Genomic DNA, 27,990 nt, shown 5'->3' on the forward strand with positions numbered 1-27,990 from the left:
CCCCATGCACCCGCCTGAAACTCAGAGCCCCATCACTCTTGAGGAACATTGGGGTCTGGGATTTGAGATGGAAAAGAAGCGGAAGAAAAATGATCAACTGTTGTGTAAAGAAGAGCCAATGGTCTCAAAGTAGGCTGTATGAACTGCATGTCTGTGTACCCCTAAAATTCAAAACCTAACTTTGGATGGGATGGCGTTAGCAGGTGGGTCTTTTAGGAGATGATTAGATCATGAAAGCAGAGCCCTTGTGATGGAATTTGTGCCCTTAAATGAAGAGGAAGAAAGCTAACTCTATCTCTGCTCTCTGCCACGTGAAGATACAACAAGAAGGCGGCCATCTGCAAACCAAGAAGAGAGCCCTCACCAAGACACTGGGTCTGTTGGTGTCTAGATCTTGGACTTCCCAGCCTCCAGAACTTTGAGAAATAAATGTCTATTGTTGAAGCCACCCAGTCAATGATAATTTGCTATGGCAGCCTAAGCTGACTAAGACATAGTATTTTACCCACTCATTTATTCAACCCCTATTTATTAGCATCTATTCTACACTGAGGCCTGGGAAAAGAAGAGTGAGGATAAAGATTCATGGGGTATACAAAAAAATCTCCATACCTTCTGCTCACTTTTGTTGTGAACCTAAAACTGCTGTAAAATATAAAGTCTATTTTTTTAAAAAAAACCTTAAAAAATAAAGATTAGATCCCTTTCCTTGTGGGGCACACAGGCTCATGAGGGAAGACAGACATTAAACTGATCATTATGCAATGAATGACTTAAGTACACTACTTTGTGATTTTATTTGAGATGTAATTCACATTCCCTACAATTCACCCATTGAAAATGTAGAATTCAATGGCTTTTAACTTATTCACAGATTTGTGCAACCATCACCACAATCAATTTTAAAACATTTTCATCACTCCCCAAAGAACGCCCCTTAGCCATCACGGCTACAATCATTCCATCCGACCTGTCCCCAGCCCTGGCAACCACGAAGCTACTTTCTGTCTCTGGATTTGCCTGTTCTGGACATTTATGTAGATGGAATCATGCAGGATGCGGCAGCCCTCTGTGTCTGGCTTCTCAGCATGATGTTGCCAACTCTATCCATGCTACCGCGGGTACAACCCTGTCATTTTGTAAGTGCTGGGAAGGCAGGCTGAGGCTGCTGTGGTGCCACCATATAATAAGGAGGCTTGTCTAGGACTGATGCCAATCCGGGAAGGCTTCCCAGAGGAAGTGGTTTTTAATATCAGGCATTTATTGTGCACCTGCTGTGTGCCAACAGGAAAAAGAAGGTAATAGGAGCCATGGCTCTGGCTGGATAGGAGTGTGTAATCCAGGCAGGGGGGTCTGCATGTGCATTCATGGAAACCATGAGGGTGGCAAGTTCTAAGCCCCAAATGAGCAGAACAGATAGCTAAGAGTCACTGGCATTCAGACGAGGGTGAGCCATGGTGAACCCAGGGGTCCTGAGAGTTTCTGGCAGAGACAGGGCTTGAAGAATAAGGACCAGTAAGGGTGGGCCTTGAGCAAAGAGCAATGGAGGTGGCTGGGATGCCTGCGATCCTTCAGATGAGGGGGAGTGGGTTTGTCTATCTCAACAGGGGGTGCTGTGGGGGAGCCTGGGAGGCAAAGCTGCAGGGCTGGGTGGGGTTGGAGGGTGCAGGGCCTGGACTGCCAGCAGAGGGAAGGGTTTATTTCAGAGGCAGTGATGAGCCACGCTGGGTGGTCCTTGACCATCTGTCTACCTCTCAGCACCCAGCCTGTGGGAGCTGGAGAGAGGGGGATATAGACGAGATGGCAGGAGACAGCGAGGCCAGAGCCCACCAGACCCTCTGGACAGTCTTTGGCGCAGCCAGAGTGGAGAGATCCCGGGAAATGTAACACCCTGTGACTTCGAAACCACCGCCTGTGGCCTGTGGCCTGTGGCCTGTGGACAGTGGAAGGAGCAGCTGCACCCACCCTTCTCAGTAATGGCCCCGGGGCCTGCTGGCACCAGGGAGCCACAAGAAGCTGGGGCTGTGGGCATTTCTTTGGCTTGTGGATCTGAGCATGAGCTGGGGGCAGCCAGCCTGGGTTCCAGTCCCAGCTCTGCCACTTCCTACTGCTTGACCTGAGGCAACCTGTCGGATCTCTCTGTGCCTCAGCTTCCCCCTGAGAAACGGGGATGGTAATGAGACCTGCCTCACTGCGCAGCTATGCAGACGGCATGAGGGAAGGCCAGGGAGCCCCAAACATTGTGCCTGGGATGCAGTCCGAACCCAGCAAGTGCCCACTGATGCAGCGGGTGCGATGGGGTTCGAAGCACTGTGCAGGACAGGGTCTCTGACCTCGAGGAGCTGCTGTGATAAAGGGAGACCGCGTGGCAGGATGATCAAGAGCGCCAGTCAAGAGGACAGGCACGCCTCCATGCGATGCCCTGCCCAGCGCTTGGGGGCCGGGGATATCGACCCTGCCTCTCTAGGCCTCAGTTTCTATAGCTATAAATGGGTGGTGGCGGCAGGGTGGGGGCGGCTAATGTGGTTGATGACAGGGCAATTTCATTTGCACAAACCACCTCTGAGAGGCCAAGGAGTTCCCTAGAGTCCCAGGGAGTAAGGACATCTGGCCAGGTGCAGATGGGTGGCAGTGGCCCTGTCACTGTGTCTTCCCCAGGTGAGGATTCGAGGAAGTGACTCCCTCATGTGCTACAGTGACAATGGTTTGAGTGGTCCCTGGTATGAGGAAGGTGGGAATGAAGGTAGGAAAGATGTCTCCTTCCTTCGACGGGGCCTCCAGATGAGGCCTCCTGAACTGGGTCCTGCATTTCCAGCTTGAGCCAGCCAGGTCTAGGCTGCACCCCAAACACAGCGGCTCAGCTCGGGGACTGTGCTCCCCACTCCAACAATACACATGTACCGAGAGGCCCCCCGTCTCTGATGTCTTCACTTGCCTTCAGCACAGACACACAGACCCGCTTCTGCTGTGTGACCCTGTGCCAGCCACAGCCTGCGCTCCTCCCAGGGAGGGCTCTGCCACCCACTCCTGTGCCACCCTGAAGGCCACGGCAGGGCCTGGGGGAAATGCAGGCATCTGGTGCCTCCCTGCTGCCGGATTACAATACATTTGGTCTGAGACTCCACTCCTCACCTCTGCTCTCTGTCCTTCCCCCGACAGGCTGAACTCGGCAAGCCCCGGGAAAGAAGCTACAGTCTGCCCGGCATTAATTTTAATTATGGACTCTACATCCGAGGGCTTGACGGAGGAGTCCCTGAAGGTGAGCGAGCAGCTTTGGAGCATGAGGGCAGAGGAGTGGGAGGGAGGCTCACCCCTCTTCACAGACCCCTTGACCTAGCTCGCTGCTTGGCAGCTGGTTGGGTGCTGGAGAAAGACCCAGGGACCGCCAGCCTGGGCAGCTGACTGGTAAAACCCAGGAAGTGGCCCAGATGGGGAGGGCCAAGCAGGGCCCTGGTGTGCGGTGTCAGGGAACTAGCATGGGTATCCCCGCACCGCCCCCCTTCCCCGCCGCCGGCAGGGACTGTGTGCACTATGCTGCTCACGTTACAAGAATGGAATGAGACTGGGACCAACCCTCTGCCTGCCCAGAGGAAGTCAAGGGCCAGCCCAGCTCCAGGGAAGATGCTTGGCTTGGGTACCCTCAGGATCTCTGGGAGCCCTGATCCCGCCGTTTTGGGCCATCATGCTTTCTGGGGGCCAGGCAGGGTTGTCACCCAGTAGGCTCAGGTAAATGGGAAGGCCGAGGACCCGCGTGCCCCCATTTCTTCTCGATCAGCTGCCTCAGGGTGCTTACTCCCAGGCTGACCACTGCCCCGTGGGTCTCTCCCTGCCCTCAGCCATCGGACGCTGGAACGTGTTCAAGCAGCAGCCCACCTGCCCCCACGAGCTGACCCGGAATTATATCGCAATGAACCGCGGGGCGGTGAAAGCCGGCCTGGTGACTGCCCGGGAGAACTTGCTCTACCGTCAGCTCAATGACATCCGCATCAGTGACCAGGATGACCGGCGCATGAAGAAAGAGCCGCCCCCTCTCCCTCCAAACATGACATTTGGGATCCGGGCACGGTAAGGTGGCTGGCAGCCAGGGCTTCATCCCTTGAGGGGGTGGAGGTACCAGCTCAATCAGGGACAAGGTCGGAGGGTGACAGGGAAGTGGAGCATCCTCCCAGCCCCACTGTCCTCTCTTCAATGACTCTCTCTTGTGTGACCTCTATAGCCACACCCTGAATCCTGCTGAGCTGGGTCCTGGCCTTATAGCAGGGTACCCTGTAGGGCTGTGCACAGGTCACCCACTTTCCCTTGATCAACAAACAGTGATTGAGACCTGTCCCTGGGCCAGGCCCAGTGACTCATCTCTGTAATCCTAGCACTTTGGGAGGCCCATGTAGGAGGATCGCTTGAGTCCAGGAATTCGAGGCCAGGCTGGTCAACGTGGCAAAACCCCGTCTCTACAAAAAAATTTTAAAAATTAGCTGGGCATTGTGGCACGTGCTTATAGTACCAGTTACTTGAGGGCTGAGGCGGGAGGATTGCTTGAGCCCAGGAGGTCGAGGCTGCAGTGAACAGTGATCGCACCACTGCACTCCAGCCTGGGCAACAGAGTGAGACCCTGTCTCCAAAAAAAAAAAAAAAAAACCTGTCTCTGTCTTCATGGAGTGACAGATGGGAGAGCCTGCCAAGTTACCCAAGCACGGCACCACCCCCGGGAAGCCAGGAGAGAGGCTCTGGAGCCTGGGCTCAAACGTGGACTCTGGCCATAACTGGCCATGGGATCCTTGCCCCAGCTTCCACATCTGTAGAATGGAGATAACAGTAGCACCTGTTTCACCGTATGCCGAGGTTTCAGTGACGTAATGCATATAAAAACCTGAGCACAGGGCCTGGCCTACAAAGGGCACTCAACAAGTATTAGCTACTGTTCATGTTAAGATATGATGTAATGTGAGTTGTAGATCCAAGAGCTATGAAATTTTTAAAATTTTTTATTGAGGTTTCACTTATACATAGTGAAATGCACAAATCGTGAAGGGTTCAGCTTAATGCAATTTTACAAATGGACACACTCAAGCAACTACTACTGAGATAAAGATATAGAATAAATCTGGCACCCCAGAAACCTCCCACACTCCCCCTGAGAAATAGCAGTTCTATTCTATTCTTCCATCCCCTGAGAAATGACTGCCTGGTGGCCCCACTGTCACCACAGTTTAGATGACTGGCACGCATGTCCCAATGGGTCCACATCCTCACCATTGTCAACAAGGGCACGACCGGCCTGGCGCTTAGATAAGCTCCCTAGTGCTAATGAGGGCCCACAGGCCACACGCAAGTAGGGAGGGAGATGGGGGGACACCAAGAGAAGAGCCATGCGTCCCATCCAGTCAACACCCCATCTTCTTCTGACTGCCCTACAGAAACCAGCTAACTGCTCTCTCTTCTTCCAGAATTGGCCCTTCCCAAGCCACCTTCCACATTACTCCAGAGTTATCTTGCTAACACACAGATGAAATGAGCCAGACATGACCCATGTCCCAACCCTGGCACACATGACATTCTATAAAAGCAGAATGTAGTTGTGTTTAATCGAAACTCACTCATGGCTCACATGATTGGAAAGTGCAGGGACAGCTTCAGGCATAGCAGGATCTAGGCAGTCAGGCAACATCATCAGCATCAGGTCTCTCTGTTTCTTGGCTGTGCTTCCTGATTTTGGCTCCATTCTCTGAGAAGCTTCTTCCTCACCTGCAAATGGCCAGCAGCAGTTCTATTCTGTTTTTCTCTAAACAGCCCAGTGCAAAGGGCGTTGGTGCTACAGACACCTTGAGTTCAAGACTCTTTGGGCCAGCTCAGGTTACATGACTATCTTCTTTTTTTTTTTTTTTGGACAGTGTCTCTGTCTGTCCCCCAGGCTGGAGTGCAGTGGCGCAGTCTCAGCTCACTGCAACCTCTGTCTCCCTTCCAGGTTCCAGTGATTCTCCTGCCTCAGCCTCCCGAGTAGCTGGGACTACAGGCGTGCACCAACACGCCTGGCCAATTTTTGTATTTATAGTAGAGACGGGGTTTCACCATGTTGGCCAGGCTGGTCTTGAACTCCTGGCCTCAGGTGATCCACCCGCCTTGGCCTCCCAAAGTGCTAGGATGACAGGTGTGAGCCACTGCGCCCGGTTACATGACTATCTTCTACTCAGCCACTGTGGTCAGGGCTGAGACGCCAGGCCTGGGTCATGTGTCTGCCTCAGAGCCAATGGCTGAGGCCAGGGGAATCTGAAGCCTGGCTGGCCTGGTCTGATGATGCGCCCTTCCCTGGAGTCAGGGGTGAAATCAGTCCCTGCAATCTACGTGGGCCGATGGTGGAAAAGACGTACAGACCAGGGTTGTGTTCCAGGAGGGGAATGGACATCAGGCAGGCAGTAGGACTTCCCAGCCCTTTCTACCTCACTACACAAGCTGGTCATTAGCACAAAAATGACCAATATTTGTGCATTGCACTGAACAAATAAATAGAAGCGGCTGCTCCCAGACAGTAGCGGACTTCTTGCAATCCGAAGCCCCGTTCAGTGGCCTGTGACTGACAAAGCCAACATCTCAGCCCATCTGCGTGGCAGCATCCTGCCCGGCCCTCATTTGAGGCCACTGACATTCCATCCCTAGCTTATCTTTCCAATCTCCCCTCTTGCTTCTCCTGGACTAGGTGCCTTCCTTTGACTGTGCCATCATATATATATATATATTTTTTTTTTTTGGGGGAGGGGGGTGGTAGTTCCTTCTTTATTTTTTATTTTTTCTAATTTTTTATTGTGGTAAAATATACAGAAGATTTATCATCTGAACCATTTTTAAGTATACAATTCAGTGGGAATCATTACATTCACGTCGTTGTGTGACCGTCACCACCATCCATCTCAAGAACTTTTTCATCATCCCAAACCGAAACTCTTTCCCTATTAAACACAAACGCCCCAGCCCCTGGCACCCACCATTCTACTTTCTGTTCCTATGAATTTGACTACTCTAGAGATCTCATATGCACGGAATCATACAATGTTTGGCTTTTTGTGTCTGGCTTATTTCATTTATGTAATACCCTCGTGGTTCATCCATGTTATAGCACGCATGTGAATTTCATTCCTTTTCAGGGCTGAGCAATGTTCCCTGTCACTCATTCATCCGCTGATGTGCATTTAAGTTGTCTCCACCTTCTGGCTATTGTGAATAATGTTGCTGTGGACGTGGACGGACACGTGTCTGTTCCAGTCTTGCTTTCAGTTCTTTTGGGTGTAGACCCCGTAGTGGGATTGCGGGATCAGGTGGTAATCGTGTTTTAAGTTTTTGGGGACCCGCCACACTGCTGTCCACAGCATGTGCCGTGTATGCTTTTGTATACTTTTCCCACCATCCTACTCATGGGAAAGAACCCTGAGGATTGAGTAGGTGGGAAAACCTACTCATTCTTCAAAGTTCAGCTCAGCATCGCCTCTTTGGTAAGTTTTCCCACCTCTCGTGGCCTCAAATACCAGGCACATCTCTCCCCAGAAATGCATTTCTATTCACCAGCCCTGAAACCAGGAAGGTGACACTAGAGACACCTTGGAAAGTCACTTCGGGGCTGGATTAATGAACTCCTGTACATCGTCCTCCCTGTACCTTTGAAATCATCCCCCAAGTGGGTCCCCCAAGGCATCCCCTGTGACTTTTGCTGCTGATCCAGCTCCTCTTCTCAGCTCCCAACACATGTGCCCTCCCTTGCCCTGTTCTCGCAGGCTGCCTGGGGCAGAGAGGAGCCCCTGTTCCTGGTCCGTGCTGTGCACTAGGTCACTAGATCAGTCCATGCTGGTGACCAAGTGTCACAAAGACAGTGTGGTGGCAGGAGAGGGGCCCTGGGTCGGGAGTTGGCCTGGGATGCTAGTTCCAGCTTTGTCCCCAGCTCTCCACGTCACATTCCCCCCAGGGCTTCTGTTTCCCCATCTGTAGATAGGGGGCTGCACTAGTGACACATATACTAATCACAGCACTCTGTGATTCTCAGGCTATGTTTTGCCTCCTCAGCTTGGGTCTAAACCTTCACGCCAATTTATTTTCATGGTTATGAAAACCTTGTGCCAGAGGTGGGCAGGATTACTATCCAACTGAGGCAGGCAGAGGTTAACTGACCTCCCCAAGTTCACACAACCTCTTCATGGCAGGGCTTGGCCTGGATTCTCAACCCTTAGTATGTTTATATTTAAAAATAGAGCCGGGTGCAGTGGCTCACGCCTGTAATCCCAGCAGTTTGGGAGGCTGAGGTGAGTGGATCATCTGAGGTCAGGAGTTCGAGACCAGCCTGGCCAATATGGTGAAACCTCGTCTCCACTAAAAATACAAAAATGAGTCGGGCGTGGTGGCATGCATCTGTAATCAGTAGGCTGAGGCATGAGAATTGCTTGAACCTGGGCGGTGGAGGTTGCAGCGAACCAAGATCGCACCACTGCACTGCAGTCTGGGTGACAGAGTGAGACTCCATCTCAAAGAAAAGAAAAGAAAAGATTAGAACACAAAGGACACTTGTGATCACCTGGTTCAAAGCCCTTACTTAAAACAGGAGAAAATAGAAAGAAGTTAAGAGAGGTGAAGTGAGCTTCCCAAGGTTGCACAGCAATTTGTTAACTGAGCCAGTTCTGGAGTCCAGTTGTCAGGCTCCCCATCCAGTGCTCCTCACTCTGTGTCCTACTTCCTTGGAACCGATGTGCAGCCGGAACACCCACAGCTTCTCATCCTAGTGCCGGGGTTTTCCACGGCATCACTGAAGTCAGCTGGGCTCAGAAAGGACAAGCATTATCATCCAGCTTTCAATATAGAATCTTAAATTGCTGTAAAACCAAGTGGCCACAATTCCAGGGAAAGGACGTGATGAAGTGCTGGCTGTATCTTCTGTGATGGTAAATGGGCTTTGCATATGCAAATTGAATGGATTTTAAAATGGTATTTAATGACAATTTTCGTAGCAGACATTAACATTAATTGCACAAAAATGAAAATGCTGCATTAGGTTGCTGTTAGCAGCAAATATCGTGGCCATAAAGCTTTATCTTTATCAACAGCAGCCCTTCCTGATGTGACGGGCAGCTCCGCAAATTGCAGGCAAAAGGGCTTTTATGGAGCAGAAATATCCCCCAAAGCAGGCCCAAATCAGCATCAATTTCACTTTATTTCTTCGTAAATGGAGGTTAAATGGCTTCTGGAAAAGCTTTTACTGAGATGCCCAACCTGCGTGGAAAGCCTCCACCCACCTTGCAGCATAAGTGCGGAGGAAACGGTGACAAAATCATTGCCCCGCTCCCTAATGGGGCTATTACTTTAAAGTTATGGGGCCAAGGCCCATTTTCTAATGATCACCTTTTACAAGCCTCAACTGCATTTCTTTCTTTACTTTAAAAGCATGTTAAAACACCAAATCCGATTACACCCGACAGAGGAGGTGTTGGGGAGGTTTGGTCCAATAAATAAATAAACAAAACAAAACAAAAACAAAATGAGTGTTATTTACTCACAATTACAGACGTGTTAAAAAAATAAAGTCCCACCTCAGACTGAATCCACTAACGCTCCCTCTAAGCTAGGATGCTAATGAGCAGAGGGGTTGTGACTGCCACCCTGTGAGCTACGATTCTGACCACAGCCAGCCCCCCAACCCCCATCCATGTCTAGATTTGCAGTGGGCAAATGAATTGTGGTGAGGGGTGCACCCCCTCTTCTCCACACGTCTCTGAATCTGCCCATTCAGCCTCAATACCAGATGGGATGCAAAGCCGAATTTAGATTATTCAATTACTTCCTTCCCAGTTATCCTATTTGGTTCCCAATCCACACCGATTTGCTGCAGGTTGTCACTAAATCGGAAGGGTGCATTTCAATCCCAAAGCCTCTGTGGCTTGCAGGAAGTGGAGACCTGAGGAGTTATCTGGAAAATGGGGGTTGTGTAGACATGGGGGCAGACTGGGGGCCGTGTAGACATAGGGTCAGTCCTGGGGCTGTGGCTAAATCAATCCACAGAGGAGTTTGGCTGGTACAGTAATTAAAGGAAAAAAAAAGGTTGAGTTGCCACATTTTTAAAAAGTCAGGAGATTTCATATAAATACCTGAATTTTCCATTTCCCTTGAACAAACAGAAGCCTGGGCAAGTGGATCTGCGCTCTGCCTGGCTCCTGGGGCTGGGGCTGAGGGGCAGCATCCCTTTGGACAGAATCCATGGACTGTTTATCCCAGTCCTCACCCAGACTGGCTTCTCTCATTTTTGTTACCTGCCTAGTCCAGGTAGGCACGGAGTTTGGAACCCCTGGTGTAGACGGATTGTCTCGATCCCTCAGCTAACGGCAGCCTCTTTGTGTCCTCTGATAACAGTATGAGCCACCGCTAACAAAAGCTGCTCTGCATCGATCTTAAACGTGGCAGGCATTTTGCACACATAATTGCTAACCCTTATGTCCTTCCTATGAGACAGGTATCATTCTGCACACTTCACAGGCCAGGAAAGGGAGGGCAAGGGCCCTCCCCGAGGCGTTACGGTGCAGAGCCCGGATTTCTATCCAGTCTGGCAGCTGGCTTTGAAGACCACACCTCTAGGATCAGGCAGCTGGAAAGAGCCCCGGCATTCTCTCGCTGCTGTTTCACTGTCAAATCCCAGAATTCAAGTCAGGGAAGAATTTTAAATTCTCATTACCAGCGTGTAAGGCCCTAACACAGATCTCAAAGCATGCTGCCACCCAAGGTCCGGAAACAGATATGTCTGGAGGCCAGATATGTAACTATTAAAGACACACTTAATTATTGATGCACTTTAATAAGTGTTTGCAAATGTTCGCATGCCCTCGGCACATCTTAATTGTTACTGCTCCTAATTGGCCCGGCACTGTCGATTATGATGAGTCAGGGATGGCGGGGAGGGGAGGAGCAGGGAGGGCCCGGCAGCAGCTGGCGCTCCTGGTGGACTCTGGGCACCCTGGGCTCTGCCGCTGTTCTGCTTGGGAGCCTGGGCCACAGTCAAGACACAGATGCCAGCAGGAACATCCATCACTCAGTCAACCAGCAAGCAGCCCCTTGCGCATCAGTGTCTCACATGGGCCAGATGGAAGGTGGGAAGACCCTACTTTGCACTAACAATGGCAACTATGTGTTATTATTACTACCTCAGGTCAGACACTGCCGAGGTCCTCAGGAGCATCCTCATTAACTAACTCTGAATAGCTCAGTGAGTACAAAGTTAGCTCAAGTGAGTACAAGGTTGGAATGCTTCTATCCCCGTTTTACAGAAGAAGAGACAGAGGGTCTGAGAGGTCAAGTCATTTGGCTTCTGTGCAGTGCGAGGAGGATTAGTGTGGCCTGAATGCCTATGACAGTGACCAAGGGTCTGATCTGCCTCCCTAACACAGGGGTAGAGGTGACACGGGCAGGGACTCTGCTCATGTTTTTCCAGCACTAGAAGGGGGATGAGACAGGATTCTGTGTAAGGCCATCCTGTCTGGATTTTTCTTAAGGCTTTAGAACTTAATCTGAACAGACCCAAAGAACCTGCTGAGCTTCTCCTTTCTGGGTCACTTCCTTCCCTTTCACATTCAGCGGCAACCACTTCCTGATAAACTCAAACTTCTTGTCAGGGCATCCAGAACTTTCACCACGCTGGATGCTCCAGGCCTGCTTTTCTCACGCCAGGATCTGTGGTGCTGACCACAGTGCCTTTGCGGAGGAGGCCTTCGTGGAGTTGCTGAATGAGTGCATGAACAAATGGCCACATTGGGGTCCAGATATAAAGCCAGTTGCCACGTGCAACCTGAGTAGCATCCTTAGATCAGCACTAATTAGCCTGGTCTACACCCCCAATCCTGGTGCAGAAAGCCTTCAGACCATGGAAACATAAGAAACATCAGATAAGCGGGAAATGCTGCTGGCCCAGCCTTCTGTCTGCAGCCGCTGCTGGTCCTGCTATCAGATGCATCATCAGCCTGACGCTGACAAATGTGAAGGATGCAGGAAATTTTACAGGCTGTTAAAAAAATGTTTGCTGCCTGACAGGTTTTTTTGAATCTCTCTGCCAAGCTGATATATTTTACAAATTTACAGTGGGCCCATCAATCACTCTGGGTGATTTTGTTTCTCCTGGATCCGATGGCCAAAAAAATCCAAGCCACCCACCCAAGCTCCTATAAAATAATAATAAGCCCTTTCCCCAGCAGCCATCCCAGAGATCCGAGGCAGTTTCTGAAGGGCGAGACCACGTCTGCATTTATTGGTGTCCTGAAACCCGGCTGAATGAAACCTGGTCTGACCACAAGGGGGAGCATGTGGATCTCGCAAAGATCCCCGGGCCTCAGAGAGGGCCTGAAATGTACATTGCCCCCTGCAAAGCCAAGTTTCTCCTGTCCCCCGCATAATCTGCTCCCTGGCACTGACTGCGACTGTCGTTAATACTCCTCTGCTGTATGTCAGGTCCCAGAGCGCAGGGAGAATGTCAGTTTCATCCATCGCTGCATCTTCAGCGTCCAACACAATGCCTGGCACATAGTGAGCACTCGAATATAGTCTGGGGCCCTTTAAGACTTTGAGACAGTTATCAGAAGCAAAGAGAGAGTCCATCTGAGACCCAGAGAGGGGACGTTAAAGCCAGAGATGACACTTCATAGACTCCGCTGTGATCCCCGCCCCCCGCGCCGCCGACTGATGTCATGAGTCTGCAGTGCAGTGATGCTGCCTCAGAGAATGAATGTGTTCCTCAGCCATGTTAATAGAGGTAGCAAGTTCAGAACAAAGGAGGTGACCTCCTTGCTCTTTTCAGCTGCTCAGGCCATACTTGTAGTATCAAGCTCAAGAATGCAGGACATCATACATTCAAGGGAAGGTTCATAAACAGGAAATCGTCTAGAAGGGAGCCGTCAGGATGATGGGCGGGAGAGGGGGAGGGTGTCTACTGTGTACAAAGAACAGGAGAAGAGATGAGGTCCTCCTAGCTGGACGTGAAAAGATGCCGCAGAGACACAGCAGCTGTCTATAACCATCTGAAGCCCTGGGATTAGGACAGTGGGGGGGTTTTGCTCTCAGAGGCTTCAGAGAACAAAATGAGGACCAGAGTGTGTGTTGGAAGGGGGCAGTCCTCATAGCTGTGTGTGTTCAGAATGTGTGTTGGAAGGGGGCAGTCCTCACAGCTGACACTTTCTGGGCCCCCACTGAGTGACCGCTGCGTCCAACACTGAGCCCTGTACCTCATCTCATTAAATACAACTCTACCAAGTAGAGACTATCATCCCTATTCTACAGATGGGGAAACTGAGGCTCAGAGACAGTCACTTGCCCAAAGTCTCCTGGCTAGTTGGAGGCAGCACCAGGATTTGAGCCGAGTCTCCCTCCAGGGCGGCTGTTCATATCCACAGGCCGCATGCTTCCAGGAGGCAGAGCAAGGCCCTGGGCGAGGAAGTCATTTCTCATCCTGAGCTCCGTTCACGTTGGTGCCAGTGGCCTGGTGCGGAGGTGAGTCCTCAGCAGCGAGATGGCGGCTACGAACAACAGTTACAGCAATGAACGGCCAACGCTGATGAGCACCTACTGGGGCCTGGCTTTCCACAGAGCAAATGGATTAATCCTCACTGCAGCCCTGTGCAGCAGACGCCCGTCACCTCTATTTATCCATGAGAAAAGGGAGGCATGGTGAGGTTCTGTCCCTCAGCAAGAGGTCACAGGTGGCGAATGGAGGTGTGGGGACTCTGTCCAGGCAGCTTACACCAGGACCCTAGCCCTTAGCGGCCTGAACAGGTTCTTTTGGGAGGTGGAGGCACTGGCTGGCTGCCCAGCCCGGGCTACCTCTGCTGGGGCTTTGGGAGCCCCCTGAACTGAGTCCGACAGGGGTCCCCTGCTCCTCAAGGCCTGCCTGCTTCCATGGACCTGGATCTCCAAGGAGTTTTGTTAAAAGGGGCCCAGGCTGAGGGCCAGTCTTGCTCGGTGGCTCACACCTGTAATCCCGTCACTTTGGGAGGCCAAGGCAAGTAGATCACTTGAGGTCAGGAGTTCGAGACCAGCCTGGGCAACATGATGAAACCTCATCTCTACTAAAAATACAAAAATTAGCCAGGTGTGGTGGTGGGTGCCTGTAATCCCAGCTACTCGGGAGGCTGAGGCACGAGAATCACTTGAACCCGGGAGGTCGAGGTTGCAGTGAGTCAAGATTGCACCACTACACCCCAGCCTGGGCGACAGAGCAAAACTTTGTCTCAAACAACAAACAAAAAAGGTGGGGGACAGGCAGGGAGCCATAACTGGGAGAAGGTAGCAGCCTGGGGCCCCCATCTTTTCCCCCTTCCACTCCCAGGAAGCCCAGCCTCCCTGGGGCCCCAGACTGGCTGCTCCTGATCCACCCTTTCTCCCTCCCCAAACTCCTGCTGCTCCTTCCTCCTTCATGGGAGCTTTGTCTCCAGAGCCAGGACAGAGACATTTTTCATGCTTTGCCTTGTTTCCCTTTCGGCTCTCCTGTGGCCCGGACAGAGATTTATTCGCGGCCTGACACTCGCGGCATCCCAAGCAGGGAGGGCTCAGGGAGGCACTGATGGGCCCGTAATGGATGGGGCCGCCACTCCCCCAGGGCCTGGCCAGGCCCGAACCCCATCCATCAGGAGCAGCTCGGTGCCAAGGTCAACGCTAACGAGGCTGGCCCGGCTGGTTCCCCTCGGAGCCTCCCAGGTTGCATCGCACATGCTCTGCTCTGCCTTTGATTTTTCCAGAGCTGGGCCTCACCCGTGTCAGGGGAGGGGCACAGCGAAAGCCCTTCTGGGAGCCAACGCTGGAGTCCAGAGTCGGGAGTCCGGCTTGGTGCCTGGCCCGGCCGTGGGCCTCTTATCGCCTCTACAGCCTCCAGCTCACAACACAATCAGAGGGGCTGCTAGGGTGAGGTTGGTTTAGCTCTTTCCGGGACACGGAGGAGATGGTGCTGCTGTGAGCCAGCCGGCACCTCCCTGGCACTGCACGAAGAACCAGGCATCAAGCCCAACACATCAGCCCACATCCCACTGTGGCAAGGGACCCCGCAAGCAAAAGTAGTCACAGAATGAGCGCGTCATGCAGAGGAGCGGTGAGCCCAGCCAGGAGGAGCTGCAGGCAGGCCCTGATACATCCCGTCGGTGGCCAGATCATCTCATCGTGTGGAGGAACAGTGAGCTCACAGGACAGAGCTGCACGCTGGGCCCCATCAGTCCCGTCGGAGGCCAGATGGGAGTGGCTGTTCAAGCTAGAAACCGCTGGAGCCTTGCATTCGTTTTGATGAATAATAGTGCCAGTTTCCGGGGCTAGACACCATGCTGGGTGCCTCATACACATCAACTCAAGAGATCCCCAGACGGGCCCTAAGGTAGCAACTGACTCTCTTATCCCCATTTTATAGACAAGGAAACCAAGGCCCAGAGACACTTGTACACAGTCATGTGGTTGCAAAGGGGTCACGCTGGGATCTGATCTCAGAACCCACATTCGTTACCTCCGGCCTATGCTGAGAGTTCATTTAGTGCCCACCTGTGCTGGGCATTGTGGTGCTGGGTGTTTGGGATACAGAGAAAATAAAACACAAAACAAACCAATATGCAATCAGCAGGTATAACAGCAAGGCAGTGCATGCTGTTTCTAGTGGGCAGAGGACCCAGGAGAGAGGGCACAAGGGTACCTTCGGGTCTGCTGAGACTTGACTCTGACTCCCCCAAGCTAAACCTCCTTCAGTCCCCTGAACTCCCTCCCTCCCCACGTTTCTCTGGACTCACAGGTGCTTTTCCCTCTGCCAGGGATGCTCGTTCCCACCTTGCCTGGCGGAGGCCTCACCGTCCTTCAGACACTCCTGTGTCTCTTGCCTGGAGAGGCCACCCTGTGTGGCCACTGCCTGCAGACCTGAGCATCTCCCCCACCAGACTCAGTGGGGCGGGCCTGGTGTTGCCCACTCCTCCTTCCCCAGTGCCAAGCATGTGCCTGCCTGGAATGTTGTAGGTGCTCAGTAAACGCTTGTTGACTGACTGCGTGAGAGGGAACAGATTGCTCAAATGCAGTGCGTCCTGGATTTTGGGAACAGGCACTATTCTAGTGCCAAGAGCACATGAGACGGCCAACTCTTTCCCGGGCACGACTCTTGCAGGGCACTGAGCTTCAGCTACAGGAGCTGTTGAAAATCATCGTTTGTTAATTTCCTGGGGTTTCTGAAACAAATTACCACACGTTCAATGGCTTAAAATAACAAAAATGAAGCGGCCGCGCGGCGGCTCACGCCTGTCATCCCAGCACTGTGGGAGGCTGAGGCGGGCGGATCACGAGGTCAGGAGTTCGACACCAGCCTGACCAATATGGTGAAATCCCGTCTCTACCAAAGATACAAAAATTAGCTGGGTGTGGTGGCACACACCTGTCATCTCAGCTTCTTGGGAGGCTGAGGCAGGAGAATCACTTGAACCTGGGAGGCAGAGGTTGCAGTGAGCCAAGATCATGCCACTGCACTCCAGCCTGGGCAACAAAAGCAAAACTCTGTTTAAAAAAAAAAAAAGTAACAAAAATGGATCCTTTCCTAGCTCTGGAAGCCGGAAGTCTGAAATCAAGGTGTTGGCAGGGCCACGCTCCCTCTGCGGGCTCTAGGGGAGGGTCTCCGACCTCCTCCAGCTCCTGGTGGCCCCAGGTGTTCCTTGGCATCCCTTCAGCCACTGCTGCCTCAAACTTCACGTGGCTGTCTCTCCTGCATCTCTGTCTTCTCCTCTTCTGTCTCTTACAAAGATATTTATCATTGGGTTTAGGGCTCAGCCAAATATCCCCAGATGATCTTATCTCAAGATCTTTAATGTAATTACATCTGCAAAGACCTCTTTTCCAAATAAGGTCAAATTTACAGGCTGGAGGAGGGTTAGGATATGGACACATCTTTTGGTGGTGGAGGGGAGACCATTCAGCCCACTCTAATCATCGAAGCATCTTAACACAAATCAAGTCAGAGTGTCCTGCATTTTAGGTGTCGTTGGGTTTTGAGAAAACAATCTTTAGAATTATAATTTTACAATGGCTTCCCCTGGAGTCTTGCTACCTGTTGGCCCCTTATGTTTTTGTGAAAAATGCAGAAGGGGTTTGTAATCAGTCAAAAGATGATAGGTATAGGCCAGGCGTGGTGGCTTACACCTGTAATCCCAGCACTTTGGGAGGCCGAGGCGGGCAGATCACCTAAGGTCAGGAGTTTGAAACCAGCCTGGCCAACATGGCGAAACCTTGTCTCTACTAAAAATATAAAAATCAGCCAAGCGTGGTGGCAGGTGCCTGCAATCCCAGCTACTTGGGAGGCTGAGGCAGGAGAATCACTTGAACCTGGGAGGTGGAGGTTGCAGTGAGCTGAGATAGTGCCTCTGCACTCCAGCCTGGGTGACAAGGGTAAAACTCCATTTCAAATAAATAAATAGATAGAGATGATAGGTATAAATGCTTTTATGAGGAGCAGGTATTTTATTTTTTTAATTTAAAAAAAATTTTAATTTTTGTGGGCACATAGTGGGTGTATATGTTTATGGGGTACATGGGATGTTTCGATACTGGCATGTAATGCATAATAATCACATCGTGGAGAATGGGGTCTCCAGCTCCTCAAGCACACAATCCAATTCTACTCTTAGTTATTTTTAAATGTGCAATTAAGTTATTATTGACTCTAGTCAAGGGAGCAAAACATTTTAACCAATCCTTTCTTTTGTGTTTATTAGAAAACTTTCCAAACAAATAGAAAAGTTCAGAAGCAACATAACTAACTCCCGTGAACCCACTACCTGGATTTAGCACGCTAACCATCTGGCCGCTTTCGCTTCTGATCCTTTCCTTTAATATTGAAGAAATAAAACGTGTCAAACACAATCTGAGGCCCCTGTGCACACCTTCCTAGCCTCAGCCCCTCCCCGTCTTCCCTGAGGACCCTCCCGAGGTTGGAGCACGCATGCTTTCCACCCAGCGTGCCCAGTTTTGCTCTGTCGTTAGCGATCCATAAATCATAGGGACTACTGAGCGGGGTCCTGTGCCCTGGAAGTCACTCTGCACATGACTCGCTCATCTCATGACACACATTTGCAACATCACCCTGTCCCACTGTCTGAATCGTCCGCCACAGGTGTACCCATCTCTCTACTGCTAAGGTGTTTCTCGTGTCCCCCCATGACAAGGCCCCCACCGGCACCCTGGCACACCTGGTGCCCCTGTGCGAGGGTCCTCGGGGTTGATGTCCACGAGCAGAGCTGCTGGTTGGAATGAGACCTCCTCTGCCTGTGCCGACAACCCCAATTGTCCTTCCGGGTGCTGGCCCCATCTGCCCTCCCATCTTCTCAACTCTTTCTACCTCCTCTGTGTCATTGACCACGGGTGACTGTGAGGAGATGACCCTTCCCCTGTACCCCTGACCACAGATGACAGTGAGGAGATCTCCCTCCCGTGTCCCTGACCATGGGTGACAGTGAGATGACCCTTCCCCTGTGTCACTGAACACGGGTGACAGTGAGGAGATCCCCCCGTCTTGTGTCCCTGACCACAGGTGATGGTGAGATGACCCTTCACCTATATCCCTGAACACAGGTGACAGTGAGGAGATCCCCCTCCCCTGTGTCCCTGACCACGGGTGACAGTGAGGAGACGCCCCTTCCCTGTGTCATTGACCACGAGTGAGAGTGAGGGGACGCCCCCTTCCCTGTGTTATTGACCATGGTGACAGGAGACGCCCCTCCCCTGTGTCATTGACCACGGGTGATAGTGAGGAGATGCTCTGTCCTCCTGGTCAGGCAAAGGATGGGTATCAATGATCACCTTGGAAAAGGGGTAACTGAGGCCCACAGGTGAGGCTGTCCGCTGAGTTACACACACTTGTTGAGAATCCAGTCTCCTAACACCCAGTCTGTGGGGTCTGCCATCCTCACTACCTCCGGGCAGAGGTGCCCACCTGGGACTCACCTTTGCCCCCGGAGCCAGGATCCCCCTGCCCAGTCGGTTTCTGAGTGGCCTGGCGGATCTCCTGTTCTCAGCCCTTTCCATTTTGGCTTCACCGAGCGCTGCCTTCCTTGCCGCCTGCTGCCTGCACCGGTGCCGGAACTGCTAATTGAATTCATCCTTGTGAAAAGTGTTAACACGTTGCAAATGACCTCTCATTCAGATTTAGAAGTCAGGTGTGTGCCGCTAACCAAGCCTCCCGGCGTCATTAGCTTTTATGTTGGATCCACAAACAATTAAAAAGTAGCCACAAGCCCAGAGGTCCTCTTCTCTAATTAGTTCTAAGAGTCCTGCTAGGGAGACAGGCGGGGCCTCAGTTCCACCCCTCTTCCTAGAAGAAACAGGCCCTGGAGCCAAGGGGTGAATTAAGAAAAAGGCAATGAGGGGATGAGGGTGGGCCAAGGGGTGCAGCAGCCTCCGGGGCGCCAGAGCTCAGCCCCCCAGCCCGCCCCAGCTCTCTGCTGGGAGGACAGAAGTGCCGGGGGCCAGCAAGTGGAGGGTCCCCTGCCCGGGAAAGGCTCAGAGTTGGGACTCTCAAAGGGTGCCAGGGAACACGTGTGCCAGAACCACTTGGCGGGGGTGGGGGAGGCACCCTTGTTAAAATGCAGATTCCTTGCCACCACCCCATCCCCAGGCCCAGAAAGCCAGAATGTCTGGGGGTGGAAGGTGACATCTCTACTTTTACTAAGCTCTCTAGGTGATTCTTATTCACTCTTCAGACAGAGAACCCCGGCTCGACATTCTGAGGGAAGGAGAGACTGTGTCAAATGCAACTTCTTATTCAGGCGGAGGCCTGTGTCTTTGGGTCCAGGGCAGCTGGACCTGAGGGCTGACACCTCCCTCCCAGGGCTGCAGGAGGACTCTGGCACCCCTGGGCACACTTGCCTTCCTGTGTCCCTTCCTCTGTTTAAAAAAATCTATTTTATGGTTATGTTAGTATAAAGATGAATATAATCCAGGCTGAATTATTTTTATTTTTTTCTGATTTTAAAAGAAATTTAAATATTTTATGAGTCCCTAAAAGTGTCTTGGGCCCAGGCACGGGGCCTTCTCGGCCTGATGGGCGGGCTGGTCCTAGTTCTTCCTTTCAGGCCTCATTACTCCTTTCCCTCCTGGAAAGGAGGAATTCCCTCTTCTCTCTCCCCTCCTTGCCTCTCCTGGCACCCCTTTCTGCAGCGAGCAGAGATGAAGGCAGAGAGAGGATAGAGAACTTGCCTTGAAGCCTGAAGACTCGAGACTCAACACAGACCTCTCCCATTTCCATGGTGAGGAACTTTGAGAAGGCCACACACTCTCCAGGGCCTCCGTTTCTCCGTCGGTCAGTGGGATTAACACTCCTTCCACTACAGGAAAAAAATTGTGTCAAATCCATCAGTGAATAGTTCCTTGGGCTCTTGGGAAGAGAGAGAGGCACCAAGTATTTTTGTTGTTTAATTGGCGTAGAACCAGGGTTACAAATTCATGAGCCTGCAGAGGCCTGGCAGATAAAAGGGGAGGCTGGCCCTGTGTAAGGCTATAGGGAGTGGTGGGGACTGCAGCAAACTGGGGCACATACCTGGTCTAAAGTTGGCAGCTCCAGCCAGTTGTGGACACATAGGAATGTGTACCAGTGTTACCAGATCATCTAACATCTCAGTAAACAAAGCCAGGCATTTGGACTTTTATGTGAATCTTCTGATTTTTAAAAAAATATATATTGGTTACTTAAGATTTCAAAATGCTACAGGCCAAACTAAGCATGTCTGCAGGCCAGACCTGGCCTAGAGTCTGCTATTTGCAACCATTTTAGGGCAGTAGTCACCCAACGCTGATCCTGAGTGAGTTATTTAATCTTGTTGAACTCCAGTTTATTTATACAAAAAGTGGGGCTGACATAATAGTAGTTCCTGTCTAGTAGGTTTCTTGTCGGGATGAAATGATGCGGTCCCTGGAACTTGAGTGCAGTGTGGAAGGGAGGTGGGTGTGGTTCCAAAGGACAAGAGGAGAGAGCTTGTGGGAATGGAATGTTCTGTGTCTTGACTATGGTGGTGGATACATAAAACAACACATGATTAAACCACACAGAAATACACACACACACACACACACACACACACACACGAGTATGGGCGAAATCAGGGAAATCTGAATGACGTTGTTGGACTGTATCAATGCCATTATCCTGGCTGTGATTTTATTCTACAGTTACCATTGGGGGAAACTGGGTAAGGGGCACGTGGGATCTCTCTGCATCATTTCGTACAAACTGCAAGTGAATCTACAATGATCTCCATAAAAGTTTCAGTTTAAAAAAAAATAGATTTAGTGGTAGCTTTGGTACCCACGGGCAATGTTATAATCGCTTGTTAGAAAAAAACCACGGTGAAACTGTAGGCACAAGCAAAGTGCTCAGTAAACAGCCATGGAAGTCACTTGACAGTCGGACAGCCACGTCATTCAGGAAGCCCTGGGTGCCAAGGAAAAAGGGAGACACCCCAGCCCTGCAGCACGCAGCTCGGGGCTGTGTGAGAACACGAGGGCGGTCTTCAGAAACCCCATCCGGCAGGTGGAGAGGGTGGATCTCCCTAGACGGCTCCACTTCTGGGTGTCCCTCATGGATCGGGTGTCGATTTCGTATCGTGGAGAGAAGCCCAGCCCTCCAGCCTTCTCCCTCCTCCCAAACCAGCCATCTACGGTCTCAGGCCCAGCCTCAGAGGCCACCATCCGCCCCTCCGTCCCTTCTCAGCTGCGAGGGTGCCAGCAACTCCCCGGCCCCCGGGAGCAGCAGACTGCTGGCATATTAGAGATGGATTTTAATTTTATTTTAACAAAATAGCTGTCTCCACTGGAAGAAGCATCAAGAGCCAAATAAGGACCCGTCTTGAGTGGAATCACGTTGAACAGACCTCGGCGCTGTCATTGATTTTCCAGGAAGAAAAAAATCGCCTCTGGCTACTAAACCGAATTAGTAGTCACTGATGACCAATTATTTTAGCCTGCTGTGAACGGAGAGCCGTACTAAAATCCAGTTTGTCAGACCCAAGTCTCCCTTCTGAAACACCTTTCAACAAATGTGTACCTAAAGTCCCTCAGAAGGCTCCTCCAGCTTCCTCTCTTCCGCCAAGTTCTCCAGCTCCACAAAGTTTTAATGAGCAGCGAAGATGAAGATGGGTTGCCATGAAAGGGCCCCTCTAATCCACAGAGCACTCCTGGCAGAGCGGAGCCGCACCGGCAAATCAGAGCTGTCAGCCCTCATCCCCCGCACACACAAAGTGTCAGCCTAATGTTTGCAAATGATAATTTCCATTTCCCCTGCACATCCCCTGTGCCTGCATCGGAGATCAACCCCTGGTCTGGGGTATCAATCGCGGAGCAGTCAGGATGGGTTTGATGGAACTAATTTGAAGTTTCTGGGAGGCCTATCCCAAGTAGGAGCTGATTTCATTTCATTCCCCCTTTTTCGCTTTATGGGACTGAGTTTTGACCCGGTTTTGTTGCTAGTGGGCGCGTCCGGTGGTGAGAAACTTTTCTGGGGGGTTCCTGCCAGGTTATCAGCAAATAATTTGTCGAAGCTCTTAGCAGGGGCCCTGTCATCACGACACAGGCTGTTCAGGAGTCCACAGGCAAGCCCAAAGCCCGGCTTTCCAAACAGTAGAAACAGCAGCTTGGAAGCCCTCACAGCCCGAGTGTGAGGGCCTGAGACCCCTGGATGGGGCCCAGCGTGGAAGTCAGGACAAATCGGACTCCTTTGTGTAGGGGAAACACTCACTCAGAAGTCCAGGCAAGCAAACTGCCAACAAGCACAGCTTGACCAAGCTACCTCCACCTGGACGAGATGACTGGATCATTCAGACCCGCCTTGGAGCCGCTCAGCACACAGCTTAACCATTAGGGGCAAAAAGCCTCAGGGCCAGGGGAACCCGGATTCGGATCCTGGCTCTCCTGTCTGGCTACTCTGCATCCCTGAGCATCACACGGGCAACTCGCTCCATTTCTCTGAGCCTCAATTTCCCCTTCTGAAAGCCAGGAGTCTCCATCCTCCCTTCCAGAATTGTGAGGACTCGGTGAGCTTTGCACGTGGAGGGCTTGGTATAGAAAGTGCTCGTTAGGATGGGAGGCATTTGGAATCGCTCTTATTCTTCAGGGTGGATCAGGCCCATCTCCAGCTGGCGGTCCTGCCTGTGTTCACCCTGTTCCCTGTCTGGAGCTCTCCTGCCCGGCCACCTTCCACCCATCCCCAGAGATCTGTCCAAAGCCTCAGAGGAGATGTCCCTCATCCAACCCACTTGCTGGATTAACCTTTCTCTCCTCTGAGCTCCGGCCACACTGCAGGTGGCTGTCTACACTGGCATTGGCCCTTGGCACTGCAGGGCGATAGGGCTGCAGCGTGGCTACCCCCACAGGCTTACGATTCGAATGACTACTGCGTGGTCTTGAGCAAGACAGTGGCGTTCCCTGGGCCTCAGATTTCTCATCTGTAAAGTGAGGATATTGATATCAGTCTCTCGAGTTGTTGTCCCAAGGATTGAGGAGGCAGGCAGGGAGTGTGAGCTGTGAGGATGGTTATTTCTGCTGTATGCTCTGTGACCCCAGAGGGCAGGGAGCCACCCCCATGTTCAGACATACCATTAATGCTCCTAGATGGTCCGGATGGGTGGATGGATAGGTGGGTGGGTGGGTGAATGAATGGATGGATGGATGGGTGGGTGGGTAGGTGAGTGGGTGGATGGTTGGGTGGATGGATGGATAGGTGGATGGATGAGTGAGTGGGTGGGTGGATGGATGGGTGGATGGATGAATGGATGGATGGGTGGGTGAATGAATGGATGGATGGATGGGTGGGTGGGCAAGTGGGTGGATGGTTGGGTGGATGGATGGATAGGTGGATGGATGGGTGGGCGGGTGGGTAGATGGATGGATGGATGAGTGGGTGGGTGGATGCATGGATGGATGGGTGGGTGGGTAGATGGATGGATGGATGAGTGGGTGGGTGGATGCATGGATGGGTGGGTGGGTGGGTAGATGGATGGATGGATGGGTGGGTAGATGGATGAATGGATGGATGGATGGATAGATGGATGGATGGATGGATGGATGGATGGATGGATGGATGGATGGTTGGGTGGGTAGGTGGATGGGCAGATGGATGGATGGATGGATGGATGGATGGATGGATGGATGAGTGGGTGGGTGGATGGGTGGGTGGGTGGGTAGATGGATGAATGGATGGGTGGATGGATGGATGGATGGGTGGATGGATGGATGGATGGGTGGATAGATGGATGGATGGATGGATGGATGAATGGGTGGGTGGATGGATGGATGGATGGATGGATGGATGGATGGGTGGGTGGGTGGATGAATGGATGGATGGATGGATGGATAGGTGGATGGATGGGTGGGTGGATGGGAGGATGGGTGGATGGATGGATGAACGGGTGGGTGGATGGGTGGATGGATGGACTAACGAACGAGTGAACGTAGAGTTGAGATCTCATTCATGAGGTGCACTGCCCTTCTGCTGTCCCCTTCCTCCCCCTGAAATGTCCTTGGGCCCTCAAATCCTGTACCATTCCCCCTCCCCCAGGTTAATCCACTCTGCTACACCGCAACAGTGTCTGGCATCATGCCCCCTCCCCTCTCCTCTCACTCAGAAACCATCTCTAGTACATTCATAAAGCCTTTCCTCTGCTATAACTCCTGCCTCAGCCATTTACTCCTCAATCTTGTCTTTTTAGTTTTTCTTTTGAAACAGCCTTATTGAGGTGTAATTTCCAGACAATACAATGATCCATGCACAATTTGATGAGTTTTGACAAATTTATACACCTGGGTATCCAATGAAGATATAGTACATTTCCAGGCCAGGCACAGCAGCTCACACCTGTAATCCCAGGACTTCAGGAGGCCAAGGTGGGAAGATTGCTTGAGGCCAGGTGTTCAATACCAGCCTGGGCAACATAGTGAGACTCCCACCTCTACAAAAATTTAAAAATTAGCCAGTTACGGTGGTGAGTGTTGTAGTCCCAGCTACTCAGGAGGCTGAGGCGAGAGGATTGCTTGAGTCTGGGAGATTAAAGCTGCAGTGAGCTAGGATCGCACCACCGCACACCAGCCAGTTTCTAAATAAATAAATTAATTAAAAGATACAGAACATTTCCATATCCCAGAAGTCTCTCATGTCCCTTCTCAGTCAGTGCCTTCCCCTGCCTCCAGGAGGATCCCCAGCCCTCACCAAGCTCCTGGCCTCAGGTCCGGTGTGGACCTGACCCAATTCCTTCTGCCCCCTGGCCCAGGAGCCCCTCCCCAGACACTGGCGCAGGGCCAGCCCTCCATTCCTCTCTCCCTGGGCTCTGAAGAGCCTCGAAGGCCAGGAGGGCCGTGCTGCCTAGGAGCAGCCCGCAGTCCTCCATCCCTACCCCACTGCCTGGGCAGACCCTTTCAGTATCACACAGAAGCACAGATGTTCCCAAGCCTGAATTACTTCTGAACACAGTCCTGAAGATTCATAAGGAACAGGTCTGAGAGCAGCAGATCTCCCTGGCTCCTCCAGCCTGTCCTCGGCTTCAGGAACCTCCTCTCATTCGTCTTCAGGAAGGGGTTGCTTCCATGGCGTCTGCCGGCCTGGCCGGGCTCTCTGTTCTCCAGGGCAGTGAGGATACAGGATCGGCCCTGACATGCCGACTTAATGGCTGATCTTCCCATGAGAGAGAGAGAAGGGAATCAAGAGGCCACGTGTCCTCGGTGCTTGCACCCGTCCTGAAGGATATCGGGGCCACCCCACCCCCATCACTAGGTTCCCCAAGGAAAAGCCCATTTCTTCCAAAGACCTCCTCCTGGGCATTGCAGTTGAGGCCACATGTCCTCAGGAAAGGAGTTTCCAAAGGCTTCCAGAGTCACTCAGCTTCTCTACTGAGTGCAGACGGTCCAGGCCTGGAGATTTGGAGAGGACAACCCAGCACCATCCCTGCTCCGTGGAGCTCAGAGCCTGGTGGGAAAGGTGGACCCTGAGCCGACTATTATAAAGAACTTCAAACACCTCGCATGTGCAAAGTGCAGGCATGGCAGAGTGGGCAGAGCTAAGGGAGGTCTCGAGAGGTGTCCGCCAGGCGAAGGAGAGGAGTCCAGGAAGAAGTATGGGAGGACTCTGCATTTGGGAGGGGGTAGGAGAGGGACTGAGCTGGAGACCCTCGAGAATCATGCACTCCCAGGGGCAATGGGAAGCCACTGGTTGTGCTGAGAAAGACAGAAATAGACTTGCTTTTTTTTTTTTTTTTTTTTTTGAGATGAAGTCTCACTCTGTCACCCAGGCTGGAGTATAGTGGCAAAATCTCAGCTCACTGCAACCTCTGCCTCCCGGGTTCAAGCGACTCCCCTGCCTCAGCCTCCCAAGTAGACTACAGGTGCACGCCACCATGCCGAACTAATTTTTGCATTCTTAGTAGACACAGGGTTTCACCTTTTTGGCTAGGCTGGTCTTGAACTCCTGACCTCAAGTGACCCACCTGCCTCGGCCTCCCAAAGTGGTGGGATTACAGGCGTGAGCCACTACACCCGGCCCCAGACTTGCATTTTTTTAAAAAGCCCTGGCTCCTATGAGGAGCAGGGGGCCAGGGGATGGGGGCTGTTGCAGGGTCCAAGGACAAAGGACGGTGTCTGGGAAAGTCTGGGGTCCTATATGAAAATAGCCAGGGCCCCTGGACTTGGCCTCTATGTGCACCTGGCTTGCTGGGCAGTGTTGTTCAGCCTTAACTGCCCTCTCTTTTGTGAAAATTGATTCAAATTCTCTTGGCTGAAGACACTGCAGCCGGAAGGGTGGGAGTCCAGGCTTTGCTACTGGAGTGTGCTGTGTGACCCTGGGCAAGCCATTTGACCTCTCTGGGCTTCGCTTCCCATTCCTACCTTTTCCATGCTCATTTAGTGAGGATAAATAATTAAGATCCTCCATGTGAACCCCTCCAGCGCCTCAAAAGAATGGACGGCTGTAATTGTTACCACAGGGGCTCTCCGCCTGGGGCAAAAATCGTTCATTTTGGGGGTGGGAAAAATGCCTATATTTTACCATAAAGAACTACATTTACTTAAAAAACTGAACGTGTTGTAAGGAAGCATCAAAAAATGGTTATGGAAGACAACAGGAAAAACAGCTCCTAAAACTGCATTCTTGAAAGGTCAAGTACACAGGGAAATGCTAGATGTCCCCAGTGCATGGTGGGGTAGGGCTGGGTTCTGCCCATGGCTCCAGGAAGGCAGGATCACCCCCGGGTGCTTTGTGGTGGAAAACAAACGGCCTGGAGAGTTCTGATCTGATGTTCGGTGTGGACCTGTGCATGGTAGGCGGAGCTGGGAATGTGTCCTGACCCCGAGTCTGGGGACCGGAATTCATCACCCTCACCACCGGCCACGCGGCCTCAGCCAACTCTCAGGAGTCCTTTTCTTTCCTTTTTTTCCTCTATTCTTTGCAAAAGGATCATATACAACCACTAAGTAAGCTGAAATATGAAAGTCTTCCTTACCCCATCCCTAGTTCTGCTCCCCTGCCTCGGGCCTCGCTGTGGACATCACTGGTAGGCTTCTTTCTTCTTTCTTTTTTTTTTTTTTTTTGAGACAGGGTTTCACTCTGTTGTCCAGGCTGGAGTGCAGTGGCATGATCTCTGTTCACTGTAACCTCCGTCTTCCGGGTTCAAGCAATTCTCCTGCCTCAGCCTCCTGAATAGCTGGGATTACAGGCACCTGCCACCATGCCCGGTTAATTTTTGTATTTTTTAGTAGAGACAGGGTTTCGCCACATTGGCCAGGCTGGTCTGGAACTCCTGACCTCAAGTGATCCACCTGCCTCAGCCTCCCAAAGTGCTGGGATTACAGATATGAGCCACTGCGCCCGACCTTCCAGTCTTTTTTTCATCCACCCACGTTTGTGCAGAGGCACCTGTACTGTATGTCTCCTCCCCTGACTTCTTGTTTTACACATGATGTGTCTCAGGGATCTCTCTGGCTCATTACACACACAGCCACTTCATTCTT

At 51.8% G+C, this 27,990-nt stretch overlaps 1 protein-coding gene across 5 annotated transcripts in view, besides 3 other annotated features; it reads left to right on the top strand.

Moving 5' to 3' along the window:
* CFAP77 (cilia and flagella associated protein 77) overlaps positions 1-27,990 on the top strand; it is a 163,109-nt gene that overhangs the window by 85,325 nt on the left and 49,794 nt on the right. For 3 of the 5 annotated variants that reach the window (NM_207417.3, NM_001282957.2, XM_011518670.3), the window contains 2 exons: positions 3,160-3,259; positions 3,837-4,065. In NM_207417.3, the coding sequence (NP_997300.1) occupies positions 3,160-3,259; positions 3,837-4,065 (329 nt within the window). Of the gene's footprint in view, positions 1-3,159; positions 3,260-3,836; positions 4,066-17,723; positions 17,872-20,163; positions 20,195-27,990 lie in introns of those variants that run through there. The other 2 variants (XM_017014711.2, XM_011518671.2) reach the window with 2 other exon arrangements.
* Positions 1,821-2,322: an enhancer, noted in NCBI's record as "H3K4me1 hESC enhancer chr9:135372743-135373244 (GRCh37/hg19 assembly coordinates)". NCBI's record gives its function as "activates a minimal SCP1, AML or CMV promoter by ChIP-STARR-seq in primed H9 embryonic stem cells {active_cell/tissue: H9 hESC(primed)}" and the evidence as "EXISTENCE:reporter gene assay evidence [ECO:0000049][PMID:30033119]".
* Positions 14,353-14,892: an enhancer, noted in NCBI's record as "H3K4me1 hESC enhancer chr9:135385275-135385814 (GRCh37/hg19 assembly coordinates)". NCBI's record gives its function as "activates a minimal SCP1, AML or CMV promoter by ChIP-STARR-seq in primed H9 embryonic stem cells {active_cell/tissue: H9 hESC(primed)}" and the evidence as "EXISTENCE:reporter gene assay evidence [ECO:0000049][PMID:30033119]".
* Positions 14,893-15,430: an enhancer, noted in NCBI's record as "H3K4me1 hESC enhancer chr9:135385815-135386352 (GRCh37/hg19 assembly coordinates)". NCBI's record gives its function as "activates a minimal SCP1, AML or CMV promoter by ChIP-STARR-seq in primed H9 embryonic stem cells {active_cell/tissue: H9 hESC(primed)}" and the evidence as "EXISTENCE:reporter gene assay evidence [ECO:0000049][PMID:30033119]".

The sequence above is a fragment of the Homo sapiens genome, chromosome 9 (genome assembly GCF_000001405.40).
Source record: "Homo sapiens chromosome 9, GRCh38.p14 Primary Assembly".
NCBI classification, from domain to species: domain Eukaryota; kingdom Metazoa; phylum Chordata; class Mammalia; order Primates; family Hominidae; genus Homo; species Homo sapiens.